Genomic DNA, 17,666 nt, shown 5'->3' with positions numbered 1-17,666 from the left:
GACTTTAATTTTTTTCAAAAATAACTCTTAAAAAAATTGAGTAAGTATGGCAATTTAGTATTTCATTTTTCTTGGATTCTAAAGTAATTTTATTCAAATGTCTTAGACATTTTGGGCTTAGTTACTTACAATAAGTTTTGGGTTATTTAGTCACAGACCATTCCAGGTGGCAAATAAGAGTTTTTATGTTAATGGGTATTGAAAGAAGTCGATTATTATTACTATTATTATTATTATTTTGAGATGGAGTTTTGCTCTTGTTGCCCAGGCTGGAGTGCAGTGGTGTGATCTCTGCTCACTGTAACTTCCGCCCTCCGGTTTCAAGTGATTCTCCTGCCTCAGCCTCTCAAGTAGCTGGGATTACAGGTAACTGCCACCACGCCTGGCCAATTTTTGTATTTTTAGTAGAGACTGGGTGTCACCTTGTTGGCCAGTCTGGTCTCGAACTCCTGACCACGTGATCCACCCGTCTTGGCCTCCCAAAGTGCTGGGATTACAGGCGTAAGCCACCGCGCCCAGCCAAAAGTTGATTATTGATCCTAATCCCTGGGCCCAGTGATGGAGCACATAGAAGAATTCTGTGATCTTGCCTGTAAATTCTCAACTTTGCCTGAAAAACTGTCAGGATTAGAGGGATCTTACTGAGTTTCTCATAGTATCAGACCATAGACAAGTTGATACTACTGGAGGAATTGATGGGTATAAATGGTAGGTTCAGCAATTTTTATATGTTATTGCAGGTGTTTAGAATTTCACCACAGTGCTGACTTTTGTTGATTTAAAAAAATAAAAATGTAACTTTGTTTTTGGCTGAACAAAAAGAAAAACCAAGTTTAAAATTTCAGAGTCAGCATTTTCCTGGTAAACTCTTTCAAACCTCGGTAGATTCTGAATGTAGGGTATAGCTTATTTTTCCTCATAATTGGTTTCCTGGTATGTATTGATGAAATTAAAAATATGAAATTCAAATTAGAAATTAAACTGTAATAGCAATGCAATGGAAAAACATGGATTAAAGTTGCTCCGTTTAATATTTGTACTTAAAAACTAGTGTTCAGATGGTTTCAGTTCAAACAAATAAACACTAGTTTGTAGAATAACATTTTTAGTTATGGGCTACAGGAACTGGAATACTCATTATCTGATCAGTTTGGATTGGAAACAGTTTAAGTATTCCAGGGGTCCAAGATACCTCTGGCCTGGTAGTATGTTTTGTGATTAATTGATTAATTGAAAAGTAAACCACAGTAGGAAGAAGTAGACTGGAAGAGTCTGGAATTTAGAATATAGATGTGCTCATTAGTCTCGGAGGCAGAGGACTCCAAATTCACTTTAGTGTTATGGGAAAAGATTCCAGTCTGCTGGTGGAATATAATAGGTGTACAGGGAGGCAGTTGTGGAGGACCATGTGAGCAGCTGGAGGCTGGGAAGTCCAGCAGGAGGAAACAGGGAGTCTCATTTAACTATTGGGATGTTAAGGAGTTACCAGACTGTGATTTTATTATAGAGGGAGTCTCATCCACATCATGCCAGGAAATCACTAATGGAGTAATCCCTTATCAAGAGAAGAGTAATAGAAATTCAGCATATAATCCGCGCGCGCACACACACACCCCTCAGCATAAATTTCCTAAAGCTAAAATTATATCTAACACTGTAACTGACAACAGCACAATAACCTACTGAAAGAGATGTAAATAAAAGCCTCAAATATCTGAAACATAAAAATGTTTTTCAAAATAACTATTGGATTAAAAAAAATCAGAACTACCATTAAGAAAGACTTACTAGAGGCCGGGCGTGGTGGCTCATGCTTGTAATCCCAGCACTTTGGGCAGATCACTTGAGGACAGGAGTTCAAGACCAGCCTGGCCAACATAGTGAAACCCCGTCTCTACTAAAAAAACACGAGAAAATTAGCCGGGCATGGTGGCGGGCGCCTGTAATCCCAGCTACTTGGGGTGGCTGAAGCAGGAGAATCACGCGAACCCAGGAGGCTGAGGTTGCAGTGAGCCAAGATCATGCCATTGCAATCCAGCCTGGGCAACAAGAGCAAAACTGTGTCTCAAAAAAAAAAAAAAAAGAAAAGAAAAGAAAGACTAGAAAAAAGTAAACAATAAATAATAGGGGTAAAAATTTAGAGTGTGTGGCCAAAGTGATAAATAGAGGGAAATAGCATTAAATTCCTAGCACAAATTGATGAAAATGCCATATTTTTAAATGGAAAGATTGTTTTGTAAAGAAATGACATATCTTGGGTTAGAATTAGTGTTCCTTCAACTTGCACTAAAATTAATTTCAAACAGGCTAAAAAGGAAAATGTTAAAAAAATAAAAAGGAACAGTGAAAACAAAAGAAGTAAGAAAATTTAATAATACTTAGTTTATGTAGGATGTGGAAGAGTTATCTGAGTCTAAAAGTACTACGTAAAAGTTAAAAAATTATGTCAGCACCAATATAAAAGGTCAGTCCACGATGAGAAAAAATATTTGAGACATAACAATAACTACCTTCTTTTTTTTAATTTTAGAGAATAGTATTGTATTGAATACGTTTTATTCACAGAAAAATAAACTTTAATCTACAATGAATGCCAGATTATACAGCAGAAAGCAGTTTTCTTAGTTTTCCACATAGAAAGGTTCTTACTAAGTGAAAAAAACCATAAAATTATATTCAGAAATATATTACTCTGTCTCAAAACATTTCACATGATTATTCACAATACTAATACAATTAGATCAGTCATTCAGTCAGGTTAAAATATAACAGTAATGAAAAAAATGCAAAATCTAACATAAATTATATTAAAACCCTTGTTACATCACACCAAAAATGCAAATTTCTTACTAAATCCAGAAAAATGGTAACATATATAGTAATTTAAGGTATTACATTAATGGTACAGAATAAGAAAGAAGTGGTAAACTCTGAAAATCTGTAGGCATATCTGCAAACTTCAGACTTCAAAGTAGAATCTGACCACCCAAACATTAATGTAGCATTTGTCTAATTTTTTTGTTTTGAACAATAACTACCTTCTTAAAACCAATTTGAATAAAGAAACTCAAGTTGAAAAACAGGTGAGGAACAACAAAGTCAGTTGTCAAAAGAGAAAATATAAATGGTCAACAAACATGAAAAAAAAGCTTAGCTTTAGGATTCAAGATATGTATGCTAAAATAGTAGTGAAGGTTCATTGTCCCGCAGTCAAAATGGTAAAAGTTTGCTAAAGAGATAATTCTCAGTATTTCACAGAACTTGACAAAACAGGCACATCTCACAGTCACATAAAGTTAGTAAGAATGAAAATAGTCTTGGCAGTAGGATTGTGAGTTTTGAAATACATACAATTCTGTATCCTAAGAAACTAATTGTCTTTTAGTTCAAGCTGTCATCAATAAAATTTATAGTACGTTTTGAGCCTGTGTGTCAGGGATTATACAGAACTGAATGCGTTACATTTGTCTCATTTAATTGTCATTATAATCTTGTAAGTGTCATGTGCATTTAACAGATGGGGTATCTGAGGCCTAAAGAGATGAAAACTGCTCAAGGTTATAATGTAACTTGACAGAGTTCAGTTTTAGGATTACACTTGTACTATTATTTAGGAGTGAAAGCAAGTTATAAAATTGTACCTGCTAATTAATTTTCTTAACTGTGTAAAGAAAAGAAAAACAGTAAAAACTTTAAGGCAATATTCACAAGTGTTATTAATAGCATATTATTAATGTAATTATTTCTAATAACAGATGAGATTAAATATTATTTCTGTTTACTTTTCTACAACTGTAGTTTTCCTTTTTTTTTTTTTTAATGCAAACTTAAAACATAAAACTGGGATTGAGGAACAGGCAATAGGCAAAGGTGGAAATCAAAGAGCAATTAAAAAAAAAAATCCAGCAATACCAGTGCAAGTACCCCAAGGAGAGTTTATCAAGCACTTGCCTTTTGACTTACACCAAAAACTAAATGTGGTTAGGCACATGCTGATTTGCTCATCTTTTCCTTCCTTTCTTAGGGATATTAGGAATTTTATAAGCATTCAATGGGTTATAAGGTGTTTGGCTTTTGTATCTAAGAAATAAAGGTTGAGTCATTTGTTCAAGATTCAGAAAAGGAGAATAGTGATAGATTTCCCAAGTACTGGTTCAGTTCACTGTTACTAAGATAGTTTATTTTTGTTTTTTGGAGACAGGGTCTCACTCTGTCCCAGGCTGCAGTGCTGTGGTGCGATCCTGGTTCACTGCAACCTCTGCCTCCCGGGCTCAAGTGATCCTCCTGAGTAGCTGGGACCACAGGTGCACACCACCACACCCAGCTAATTTTTGTATTTTTTTTAGAGACAGGGTTTCGCTATGTTGCCCAGGCTGGTCTCGAACTCCTAAGCTCAAGCGATCCCCCTGCCCTGGCCTTCCAAAGTGCTGAGATTACAGGCATGAGCCACCATGCTTGGCCCTAACGTAGTTTTAAGAGATAGAGAATATATACTGTAAAACCAATGGGAATTTTATTTTCAGCTTTTTAAAATTAAAAGTTCTAAATTCTTCAGATGCAGCTGCAACTAATTGTCCTGCTTTTTTGTGATGTTTCAGGCTTATACCAGCCAGTTTGTATCCCTTGTGATGTTTGCCCTTATGATGTGTGATGATCGGATCTCCATGCAAGAAAGACGCAAAGAGATCATGCTTGGATTGAAACGGCTGCCTGGTACAAAGACACTCATATATTACACTTTTGTTGTCTAAGGGAGTGGGTAATAGGTAAAATTCTCTTATCCTTGAAGCTGTGGCTTGTAGCTATTTAGTCAATAAGATCTTTCTACGTTTGCTCCGATGTATTAAAAAAATACCCATACTGATTGATAGCACAGAGGAATAGAAACACTGGTCTTTTGTTATTTGCTGCCAATATATTGTTATTTTATTTGTTTGGTTTATTGTCCTTTTTTGCTAATATTACTTCTTAGATTTGATTAAGGAAGTACTGAGCATGGATGACGAAATTCAGAAACTAGCAACAGAACTTTATCATCAGAAGTCAGTTCTGATAATGGGACGAGGCTATCATTATGCTACTTGTCTTGAAGGGGCACTGGTAAGTTTTCTCAGTTCTAATTAGTATCAGTCCATTGACCTGCAGACCTGACACATAGTCATACTTTTACATTAAATGAATGAAATAGGTAGAACTTTTGAAAGTGCTTCTGTATTTATGCATTGTGGTTTGTTTACTTTGAGAAAGTGCAACAGAGAACTCTGTTCAGAAGTGAAAATCAAAAAGAGTACATTTTAACATGATAAACTTGGATTTAGCAAGTAACTTGGGTTAATTTGTTCAAATATGAATAAAGATTAAGTTCTCTAGATAAGAAATTTAATTGAGGTCAAGCTGGGCACAGTGGCTCACGTCTATAATCCCAGCACTTTGGGAGGACATGGCAGGTAGATCAAACTTGAAGTCAGAAGTTCGAGACCAGCCTGGCCAACGTGGTGAAACCCCATCTCTACTAATAATACAAAAACATTAGCTGGATGTGGTAATGCATGACTATAATCCCAGCTACTTGGGAGGCTAAGGCGGGAAGATCACTTGAACCTAGGAGGTGGAGGTGGCAGTGAGCCGAGATCACACCACTGTACTCCAGCCTGGGCGATCGAAGAAGACTCTGTCTTAAAAAAAAAAAAAAAAAGGGTTAACCAGAAATATGAATATGTTTGTGATAATCTAAAATCTTTAAAAAGTCCTTGTGGAGCTTTAAAACTTCCAATTACATGTTGATAATATAGAAATAGTGATCTATTAACTTGTTAGATATATTTATAGATCAGTGGTCCTTTAATACTTTTGGATAGATAGACAGTGGCTTGACATATCAGATGCTTTTTATAATATTTACTTAAACATGGATTTTTGAAAAGTGGATTGAAGACAAATCTGGTTCTTTCCTATTAGAAAATCAAAGAAATTACTTATATGCACTCTGAAGGCATCCTTGCTGGTGAATTGAAACATGGCCCTCTGGCTTTGGTGGATAAATTGATGCCTGTGATCATGATCATCATGAGAGATCACACTTATGCCAAGTGTCAGAATGCTCTTCAGCAAGTGGTTGCTCGGCAGGTAAGTCGGGGGACTGTGAGAACACCTTGGGGATCAAAGAGGGGAGTTACGCTAGCTTATTTGAATGACTTACAAAACATGTTTACACGTGTTAACTCATTTACTTTGGAATACAGCCTTTGAGGTTTACATGTGAGGAATCAGATACTTAAGAGTTTTTTTTTTTTTTTTTTTTTGAGATGGAGTCTCTGTCACCCACCCTGGAGTGCAGTGGCACAATCTTGGCTCACTGCAACCTCTGCCTCCTGGGTTCAGGCAATTTTCCTGCCTCAGCCTCCCAAGTAGCTGGGATTACAGGCACACTCCACCACGCCTGGCTAATTTTGTATTTTTGGTAGAGATGGGGTTTCATGTTGGCCAGGCTGGTGTCGAACTCCTGACCTGAAGTGATCCACCTGCCTCAACCCCCCAAAGTTCTGGGATTACAGGCATGAGCCACCCCGCCTGGCCCAGATACTTAGAGCTTTAAGAAGACCAAGGTCATAGATCTCATATTGGGCAGAACCAAGACCAGAACTGAGGTCTTGGTCTCCACATCCTGTCTTCTTTTAGTTAACATATGCTGTTCCTTTTTAATTTAATACTTCTAAAACATTTAAAAATGTATTTTAAAATATTTTTAAATATATATTTCAGCTGGTTGCAGTGGCACATGACTGTAGTCCCAGCTACTCTGGGGACTGAGGCAGGAGGATCACTTGAGTCCAGGAGTTTGAATACAGCCTGGGTAGCATAGTGAGACCCTGTCTCTAAAACAGTAAATAAAATAAATTAAAAAAAATTACACACACGCGATATATTTCAGGGGAAATCTAACATCTAGGTTTTATTTTAATATTATATAATTGAGTTTTCTTCAGATCAGTTGGCTTTATATATAAATTCCAAAAGATATTATTCCCTAAGCACAATGTGGTGGTAATGAACTTGAGCTTTGAAGTTAGGCAAACCTGCAGTCAAGTACTAAGCCTGGTATTTCTTAGTTGCATGAGTTTAAACAAATTACTGGATCCCATAACGCTTCTGTTTCCTCGACTATAAGTAATAACAATCAGATTTACTACACAGGAATTTAAAGAAGTCTGTCCGTGAGGCTTCATATGGATTATGCAGTGCAATTTTTGCACATTCGTAAGCTATAGCCCTGCCTTTGCCCACCAGTGATGTTGTGTATGTGTGTGATTTTCTTTCCTAGGGGCGGCCTGTGGTAATTTGTGATAAGGAGGATACTGAGACCATTAAGAACACAAAAAGAACGATCAAGGTGCCCCACTCAGTGGACTGCTTGCAGGGCATTCTCAGCGTGATCCCTTTACAGTTGCTGGCTTTCCACCTTGCTGTGCTGAGAGGCTATGATGTAAGTCATCTACCACTGCAGAAATCTTGGGATGGTTTTTTACCTGGATACATTCTGATTTTTTTCTCCTAAATTTTTAACAATAGTGTTTGAGAAATCTATCAAATATATATCTGTCACCTGTTATATTTTCATGGCCCAATTTGTAGGTTACATCACAACATCTTCTTACCCATAGAACTTGAAGGAACCTTGGGGTTCACCTCCAAGATTGTGACTCACCTTGGGTAGTCTCCACCTGTTTTCTTAATATAACCTCTATCTCTTAACAGGGCAGCTATTGGCATTTGGCAGGACAATTCTTTTTTGTTTGGAACTGTCCCACACATTGAAGACTTTGTAGCATTCCTGGTTTCTCAGCCATTGTGGCAACCAAAACATAGTGCTTTTGTTTTTAGTGTCCCCTATGAGGGCTACTACTTCTGTAGAGGACCACAGTAGCTCTTTCTGTGTGAACTGGCACCTTTAGAATGCTTTTTCCTAACCAATTTCAGTTTTTTTCAGGACACATTATGTGATTATATTTTCTAATCTAATTCTTTGTAGTCTGTAATAAAGATGGTTAATGAATGTATTGTTTTCTGTTTTTATAAACAAAAATAATTTGCTTATAGTAACCACCCCCTTCCCCAGTCTATATAATCTCTCAAATCTTGCTTTTTTTTTTTTTCTTTTTGCAGGTTGATTTCCCACGGAATCTTGCCAAATCTGTGACTGTAGAGTGAGGAATATCTATACAAAATGTACGAAACTGTATGATTAAGCAACACAAGACACCTTTTGTATTTAAAACCTTGATTTAAAATATCACCCCTTGAAGCCTTTTTTTAGTAAATCCTTATTTATATATCAGTTATAATTATTCCACTCAATATGTGATTTTTGTGAAGTTACCTCTTACATTTTCCCAGTAATTTGTGGAGGACTTTGAATAATGGAATCTATATTGGAATCTGTATCAGAAAGATTCTAGCTATTATTTTCTTTAAAGAATGCTGGGTGTTGCATTTCTGGACCCTCCACTTCAATCTGAGAAGACAATATGTTTCTAAAAATTGGTACTTGTTTCACCATACTTCATTCAGACCAGTGAAAGAGTAGTGCATTTAATTGGAGTATCTAAAGCCAGTGGCAGTGTATGCTCATACTTGGACAGTTAGGGAAGGGTTTGCCAAGTTTTAAGAGAAGATGTGATTTATTTTGAAATTTGTTTCTGTTTTGTTTTTAAATCAAACTGTAAAACTTAAAACTGAAAAATTTTATTGGTAGGATTTATATCTAAGTTTGGTTAGCCTTAGTTTCTCAGACTTGTTGTCTATTATCTGTAGGTGGAAGAAATTTAGGAAGCGAAATATTACAGTAGTGCATTGGTGGGTCTCAATCCTTAACATATTTGCACAATTTTATAGCACAAACTTTAAATTCAAGCTGCTTTGGACAACTGACAATATGATTTTAAATTTGAAGATGGGATGTGTACATGTTGGGTATCCTACTACTTTGTGTTTTCATCTCCTAAAAGTGGTTTTTATTTCCTTGTATCTGTAGTCTTTTATTTTTTAAATGACTGCTGAATGACATATTTTATCTTGTTCTTTAAAATCACAACACAGAGCTGCTATTAAATTAATATTGATATATTCAGTATTCTCTTCAACTTTGTCACGAGGAAGAATTTCCTGTAGTTAATTTTAACTTTCCTTCATTACATTGTTGCATAAAACTAGTCCCTTAGTGCCAGTTTGGAAGTTACTTGCAATTGTTTGGAAGATTTGCAGGTCGCTGACCTCATCATTTCACTCTAAGTATATGTGGTAGGCTAAGCTCAGAAAAAGGTATGTATGCTTTACACTGATAGGCACCAAATTTAGTATTGTATCCTAAGTATTTTTCCTCTTCTGTATTTTCTGTGCTCTACCCCTGAAATATATTTAGGAATAAAGAAGATATAAATAAAGTGATATTGGGGTATGTTCAGCTTGTAAGTGTCAGAAATGGAAGTTGACAATTTGGATTAAAATATTTAAAGTAGAATGTTATTATTTGATACCCCCAAAATTGTGAGTAATAATTTCTTAATGGAGCTTTTCTGGCCAGATCTTCAGGGCTATAGGAGAGTGTGTTTGTTTTTGGTGAAGTCCTTCTTTTTCAAAGGTTTTTACTTTTAAATTGTGAAGATAAGCTATTTAGCACAATTATTTAAGTAAGCTGTTTTTTCCTTTCTTTTCTTTCTTTTCTTGTTTTAACTTCTGGGTGAGGTTAAGATTTTCTAATAGTTATTGTTGTTGCCAGAGAAGCATAGAATTCTGCTTGTGTCTTAGGGTTAGAGAAAGATTTGTTATATTTTGAGGTAATTTGGAAGGACTTTCATACATGGTGACTAGAAACCTGATCTTTTTAAGAATAAAATAGGGTCACTATTTACATTATATATAATATATGGCTATTATAGCTATATTAATCTACTTTAATTGTTTCTAAGATTATTTTGTGTAAGTCAGCTAGCGTGTGTATAGTGTCATTTCTTATGTTTTGTATATTAACGTTTTACAAACACAATTTGTGTGGGTTTGTAGCATTTCTTATAGTTTAAAGTATGATTCAGCATTCTAAGTTAAAACTAATATGTGAAGTCAGTCATTAGTCTGCATAATCTCTGTCTCCCTCTGTGTGTGTCTTTCTATAAAGCACATGTGTACACACACACACACAAATATACTGAAAGCTAGGGTAAGTTCTAAACTGAATATCAAAAACCAAAATCAAGAACAAAGAAGTGATATTTTCCAAACAAACATGGATTCTCTGCCGGGTGCAGTGGCTCAGCCTGTAATACCAGCCTCCACTTTGGGAGTCTGAGGTGGGAGTATTGCTTGAGCTCAAGAGTTGGAGAACAGCCTGGGCAACATGGTGAGACCTGGTCTTTACAAAAATTTTTTTGGCCGGACGCAGTGGCTCACACCTGTAATCCCAGCACTTTGGGAGGCCGAGGCAGGTTGATCATGAGGTCAAGAGATCGAGACCATCCTGGCCAACATGGTGAAACCCCGTCTTTACTAAAAATACAAAAATTAGCTGGGAGTGGTGGCGTGCGCCTGTAGTCCCAACTACTTGGGAGGCTGAGGCAGGAGAATCGCTTGAACCCAGGAGGCGGAGGTTGCAGTGAGGCGAGATCACGCCACTACACTCCAGCCTGGCGACAGAGCAAGACTCTCTCAAAAAAAAAAAAAAAAAATTTTTTTTTTAAATGGGCTGGGCATGGTGGCTTGTGCCTGTAGTCTCAGCAACTTGGGAGGCTTAAGTAGTAGGATCGCTTGAGCCTGGGAGGTTGAGGCTGCAGTGAGCTGTGATTGTGCCACTGTGCTTCAGCTTGAGTGACAGAGTGAGACCCTCCTGACTCAAAACAAAAAACATGGTTTCTCCTCTCTCTCCTGTCTTCTTACTCTCTATCCCATTTGATGTAGTGATTTTTAAATGCTTTTGTAAGTTAATTCTTAACACAAAAGAGACATTGTAATGAGGCACACCACTAAAGTGAGCATGCCCAATTAAAACCAGTGTAATATAGGATAAGAAAATCTGATTTTTCAAAAAAGATACTCTACATAAAGAATCCTTCATATAAAAAGTTCTTTCTTGTAGTACATTTAAAGTTTTAATTCACTCATGTATAACTGAGAGTTCCTTTGAGCCCTTTTTAGGCAGGGAGGCATGTCTGTCATCTAGCGTGTGGCCCAGTAAGTGATTATTACATTGGAATCAGTTTTTCAGTCTTTTAAAATAAATTCTGTGCCATAAGAATAAAAGATAAAGAGAAAAATTAATGTTAACTATTTTTAGCTTATTATAACTATGTCAACAAGTGTTTATTAATACCTATTATGGGAAAGTCACTGTGGTTGGCATTGAAAATTACATCATCTTTAAAGCAGTATTTGTCCCCAGATGGACTCATCACTAGCAAAGACTAGGTTCATTGGAAGGCATAGGGTGAGAGAATGGGAAGATGAAGTGGAGGCGGGTTGTTAAAGTGCTGTCAGTGAGTGATTTTGTCTACTTGAATAATGGTCCATGTTTGGGGGCATATTGTGTTTCATAAGAAGTGAAAGGTATTTGCAAAGTAAGCTACAAATGACCCATAAATCTGTTAACAACAGTCCTTAATATGCAAAGATGAAAAACAAGCATTACTGCTACCCAAAGGGAACTGGTGCTTGGTGATGTGCAGATGGGGCTGTTGGTTAAGAGAGCTATTACAGGTTTTCTCTCTTAGGTTTCATAGGAGGTAGTTACTGAGATGAGATTGTTTTATCTTTTTGAATACAGATCTCTTGTCTTGAGTTAGTTCTGAGGATGGGAGTAATAAAGGAGTTTTTTGTTTTTTTGTTTGTTTGTTTGTTTTGGCTCCTTAGTAATACTCCTCTGACATTTATTTCTATTATTCTTCAAAGAAAGGAAACCAACTGAAATGTTTGCTTTAACAAACATTTTAATAAGTTCTCTGGGTTTTTTTTTCCCCTTTTAAAAAAATTAGCATATACCATAGCAATAAAAGAACTAATGTTAACTATTGTATGCTACAACTTAAGTGATTTTTCTAAAGAAGCACAATGTCATTGAAAGTATTATTGAAAAGGATCATAGTCACATTGAATTTGTGAAGGCCAAAGAAATTGAAGGGAGTGATATTTTCATTTTATGATATTCACATATTTAGTAAATTTTGTGTACAAGAATACCAGGCAGAGTGTTTTACCCATGGAAACAGGTTTCAGATTACTTTATTTTTACTGTTAGAGTCTCAAGTTTAGAAATGCTAACACTTAAATCAGTTTTTTTCTCACTATACTTGAAGATTGTTAATATTTTGATATCTTCCTAGCTTGATGAATTTAAACATATCTTCAGATCTGTGACAGTGACAGCCAATAGGACTGATAATATTAGCTTCAAACCAATAATATCCAGGGTTAAAATAAAAATCATAGTGAAAGTACGATTGTAAAATTATGCTATATTAACTTTTAAGTCTGTAATAACTTGACATCAAAATGTTATGTAATTACCATAAATAATGGCTAGCGAGAACATCTTTGGAAATTCTCAAATTACCTTTCTTACTACACTGTTTGCAGAATGAATGTAGAAATGATCCTGTTAGCTTTCTGAATGTTCTGTGGTTGAATGTGTTTTTGCTTAAATAAAGCTTTTGGTATTTGTTTAAATTACACTTCTTGAGAAGTGGAAATTTTAGGATCATCTTTGCTTTGTTTCAGTTTTGTGATTTTTGAAATGAATGTTTAGTTTACTGAGCCAGTTGGTCATTTCTTCCTCATGTCGTTAAGTCCAGTGAGTAAGCCTGAACTGTGAATAAATTACCAAAAACTTGCTTAGAATTTCATTTTGAAGCAATTTGCTAATATTTGAAGTGTATACACATTTGTAGTTATGTTAGAAATTGTATTGTACTAAGAATGTAATCAATGTCTACTTTAGTTGTAAACATTTCTGATGTCAAAACTTTATTCATTACTGTTGATTTTAAGAATAAGAAATCACTGCCTAAATATTACCAAAAGCCACTGTCTCTACCCGAACTTCCCAGTTTGGGAAAGAATCGTTAGATAAAACAAAGGCTCTGCCCTTTCTGATACCAAACTCCACAGATACTTTCTCACATCTTTTAAAACATTTTGCAATAACATATTGTTTATAGGAAGTTTACGGGGTATGCAATGATTAAAACTTTTAAGTGAATTGATAGTTGCAAAAGAAAGGATAATATTTAAGGTCAGTGAGTAGCAAGACAATCTAAAGTTTCTGTAATATCTGGCTCTCTGTTAATTATAGAGCAAAGTTTCCCTTACAGAATCCTTTTATGAACAGCAAGCTAGAGTCTATCCCTAGTGGTTATAGCACCTGCTGCGTTTTTCAGGAGACAGTTAGGCCAGGGTGATTTGAATGGATAGATGTGCTGTTTTGCCTGCTTGTAGAATTCAGCCCAGTCTTTGGTCTCTCTCTCTCTCTCCCTCCTCCACCTCTCCCTCTCTCTTCTTCTGCACCAGAGCCTAAGGCTGCGCCACCAAGATGCGTCATTTTTTCCAGAGGCTTCTTTTTTTTTTTTTTGAGATGGAGTTTTGCTCTGTTGCCCAGGCTGGCATGCAGTGCTGCAATCTTGGCTGACTGCAACTTCCACCTCCCGTGTTCACACGAGTCTTTTGCCTCAGCCTCTGGATTAGCTGGGATTACAGGCACGTGCCACCATGCCTAGCTAATTTTTGTGTTTTTAGTAGAGACGGGGTTTCACCATGTTGGCCAGGCTAGTCTCAAACTCCTGACCTTAAGTGATCTGCCCGCCTTGGCCTCCCAAAGTGCTGGGATTACAGGCATGAGTCACCGTGTCCTGCCCAGACATATCAAATTTGACAGGTATTGTATACCCTTTGGATCTTTAGGAATTAATTTTTGCCTCTGTCACTCAGCTTTGTATATTTTGAAATGGAGATAAGTATAGGGAGGTCTTGGAAGGAAAATTGCCAGAATTCCCAAACCATGTAACACTCATTGAGAATTCCAGATCCATTATATCTAAAGGGCAAGTGAAGGAAACAGTATTGTGAACTGGGTATAACTCCTTGGTTCTTAACTAGTACATTCTTAATCTGTGAGACCCAAAGGTTGATAAACAATAATTTAAGATTGTACAGTACTCTAAACGTCTGCAAAGGTCTAGATGTTATCAGTATCACTAGTTTTTATTTCTGCCAGTAGCTCCCTTTTAGGTTACATTGTTGTCCTCTTTCCAGTGTCGCATCTGTCATTGGTTTTTCACTATGGCAAGTTCATTAAAAAGCTTGCTCCATTGTTATCTTCAAGTAATGCCCATAAGGAGATGGAAGATATCTGAGACAATTAAGGCTTTAGCTTCTAGGCAAGAGAAATAACGTTGCATTAAATTTCAAGTTTCTTTCTGCTAGACTTGAATGTGTCTAGCCACTCTAATTTATGGGGGCTTTTGGTTTTTTCCTATTGTACTTTGTATGTAGAATTGTTTTGAAATATCAAGCATATTTACTTTGAATTTGAACTCTTTCTTAATTTTGTATTTATCCTTTGAATAAAATGTAAATCCAATATTTATTATTAATTTACTTTCATTGCTGCTACGTAGAAACCTAGGAAGTGTTGGGAATCTTTGTAGGATTTCTGTCTTTTGTTCTTGGTTGTTAGCTTGGACCCATGTGGCATTACTAAAGTTTAGAGCATTTCTTTGTTTGAAAAAAACTAATTTAGAAACTTTTTCATATATGTAGTCTTTTTTTGGTGCTTGAAGTGGTAAAAATAAGCTGGCCTCTGAATACAGAATTGACTTTGCTGACATGACACTGGGAATTTAAATGATTTCTGTCTTCCCAGCAGGGACAAATTTGTATAAATTAGTTTGTGCATTCCTAGTTCTATTAGAAGATAGGGCTGATTATTATTATTATTATTTTGAGAAAGGGTCTCTCCCAGTTGCCTAGGCTGGAAGGCAGTGGCATGATCATAGCTCAATGCAGCCTTGACCTCCTAGGCTCAAGGTGTCCTTCCAACTCAGCCTTCCAAGTTGTTGGGACCACAGGTATGCTCTAGTACATGCAGCTAATTTTTTATTAGTACAGAATATTCAGCAGACATTGTCCAGCACAGTTCACCCTTTGCAACACACATCTAGACTCACCCTTGAACTCATGTTTAAAGTTCCAAAGAAAAACATGGTGAAACCCCATCTCTACTAAAAATACAAAAAATTAGCCGGGCGTGGTGGCAGGCCCCTGTAGCCCCAGCTACTCGGGAGGCTGAGGCAGGAGAATGGCATGAATCCGGGAGGCGGAGCTTGCAGTGAGTGGAGATCGCGCCACTGCACTCCAGCCTGGGCGACAGTGAGACTCCGACTCAAAAAAAAGACTATCATGATTCTGCCTGCCATGGATCAGCTATCCCTTTTGAAATGAAGACACGCTCACCCTCTTCCCAAGAAGAGGAGATAAGAAGTTACACAAATTACTTGGTCCATTTCTGTGTGGTATTATTCCTCTTGCTTAATCACAACCTCCCTTGATATAAAAGTCTTATACACAGTCATCCCCTCTTGTCTACAAGGGATATATTCCAAGACCCCCAGTGGATACCTGAAACCACAGATAGTACCAATCCCTATTTATATTTATACTGGTTTTTTTTGTTTTTTTTTTTGATCTGATAACCGGCATAGCTACTAAGTGATTAATGGACAGGTAGTGTATAAGGGTAGAGACACCAGACATAGGGGTGTTTCATGTCCTGGGTGGGACAGCTCAAGGTTTCATCATGCTACTCAGATGGCATGCAATTTAAAACTTATTAATTGAAGCCATGCTTGTAATCCCCTAGGACTTTGGGAGGCCAAGGCAGGAGAATTACACTCCCATAAGTATTCCAAGACATAAAAGCTCAAAATCCAAAATGATACACATGGGAGATAAGATACTACAAATGATAGAATCAAATTTGCCAACACTGCAAACATTTTAGGCAGTCCTCCCGCCTCAGCCTCCTGAATAGCTGGGACTACAGGTGCATGCCACCACACCTGATTTTTTTCCTTTATGTAGAGATGGGGTCTTGCTATGTTTGCCTAGGCTGGTTTCAAACTCCTGGCCTCATGCAATTCTCCCCCATTCAAAAGAAGAGAGACTCTCTAGAATCTCTTTATCTGACTAAGGAAACTACTTTCCAAAAAAATGCAATTGTCTTAAGACCCCCTTTTCTAGGAATCTTATAACCAGGAAAGATAAACCACTGGAGAAGACAAAGAGATTAAAAGTTGTCATCATGCCCAGATAGACTTTTCATCTGTTCTTCTGAGAACAGCTTTGAGAGTTTACTTGAAAGACTATTTGCATAAGGCAACCTTTGTTCACAATGTAGTTCTACCCCTCACCTTCCTGTAATTTGCTGATCATATTCAGTTTTCTAAGATAATCAATTATAAGATAATGTCTGCCTCCCAGGTTGATTCATTTTCCCTAGAAATTATTTACTACCCTTCCAAAACAGCTCCCCACCCCATTTTCCTCTTCCTTATAAAGAGGGTGTTTGAATTTCAGCCATGTGTCCTTGCTTTGAGTCTCATATTTGTGGGATTCCCATGTCCATGTGCATATGAAATTTGTGTGCCTTTTCTCCTGTTAATCTGTCATAGCTCATTTCAGCAAACCTTCAGAGAGGAAAGAAGGAAAGCTTTACTTCCATCTCTGCAATCTGTAGATTACTTATAATACCTAATACAGCCAGGCATAGTGGCTCACACCTGCAACCCCAGTGCTTTGGGAGGCTGAGGTAGGAGGATTGTTGGAGTCCAGGAGCTTGAGACTAGCCTAGGCAATGTAATGAGACACCATCTCTAGAAAAATAAAAATAAAAAAATTAGCCAGGCATGGTGGCTTGTGCCTGTAGTCCTACCTACTCAGGAGGCTGAGATAGGAGAATTACTTGAGCCTAGGAGTTCAAGGTTGCAGTGAGCTATGATTGTGTCATTGCACTCCAGCCTGGACGACAGAACAAGACCATGTCTCTAAACAAAACAGACCACCCAATATAATGTAAATGCTGTGTAAATAGTTGTATTGTATTTTAAAATTGGTATTTTTTATTGTTGTAATTTTATATATCTTTTTAAACAAATATTTTGGATCCATGGTTGGTTGAGTCCATGGATGTAGAACCCATGGGTACAAAGGGCTGACTGTATCAGAAGCAGTAAGAGGAATCAAATGTATGACAAAGGAATAAGACAATAAAGAAGGACAAGGCAGATTTCAGGAAGGACTGAAAATGAAATATAACAATTGAAATTAGAATGGATAAACAGATTAGGCCCAGCTGAAGAGAGAATTAGTGAACAAAAAGATAGGTCTGAAGAAATAATCCAGAATGCAGCATTTACTATAGAGAGTGATAGAAAATGAGAAAAGTCAAAGCTTCTTGACTTTTTAGAGAATTTTCTAGACCAGATTAAAGGCAAATCCTAGAATTTAGAGTGCTTCACACATCTTAAGCTGATAAAAGGAAATTGCATTCTTAAACACATTGTTTTGAAACTGAACACAAAAGATGAAGAGATCTAAAAAGCCAGAGAGATAAGACTACCCACAAAAAGTCA

General features: G+C 36.8%; 1 protein-coding gene across 4 annotated transcripts in view; it reads left to right on the top strand.

Moving 5' to 3' along the window:
* Window positions 1–14,617, top strand: part of GFPT1 (glutamine--fructose-6-phosphate transaminase 1) — a 67,448-nt gene extending 52,831 nt beyond the window's left edge. For all 4 annotated transcript variants that reach the window (NM_002056.4, NM_001244710.2, XM_017003801.2 and 1 more), the window contains 5 exons: window positions 4,599–4,713; window positions 4,973–5,100; window positions 5,959–6,126; window positions 7,322–7,483; window positions 8,164–14,617. In NM_002056.4, the coding sequence (NP_002047.2) occupies window positions 4,599–4,713; window positions 4,973–5,100; window positions 5,959–6,126; window positions 7,322–7,483; window positions 8,164–8,208 (618 nt within the window). In that variant the 3' untranslated portion in view covers window positions 8,209–14,617. The remainder of the gene's footprint in view (window positions 1–4,598; window positions 4,714–4,972; window positions 5,101–5,958; window positions 6,127–7,321; window positions 7,484–8,163) is intronic.

Source organism: Homo sapiens, chromosome 2, assembly GCF_000001405.40.
Source record: "Homo sapiens chromosome 2, GRCh38.p14 Primary Assembly".
In the NCBI taxonomy this organism is placed as follows: Eukaryota; Metazoa; Chordata; class Mammalia; order Primates; family Hominidae; genus Homo; species Homo sapiens.
The sequence above is the reverse complement of the archived record's forward strand: the minus strand, read 5'-3'. Positions and strand labels throughout refer to the sequence as shown.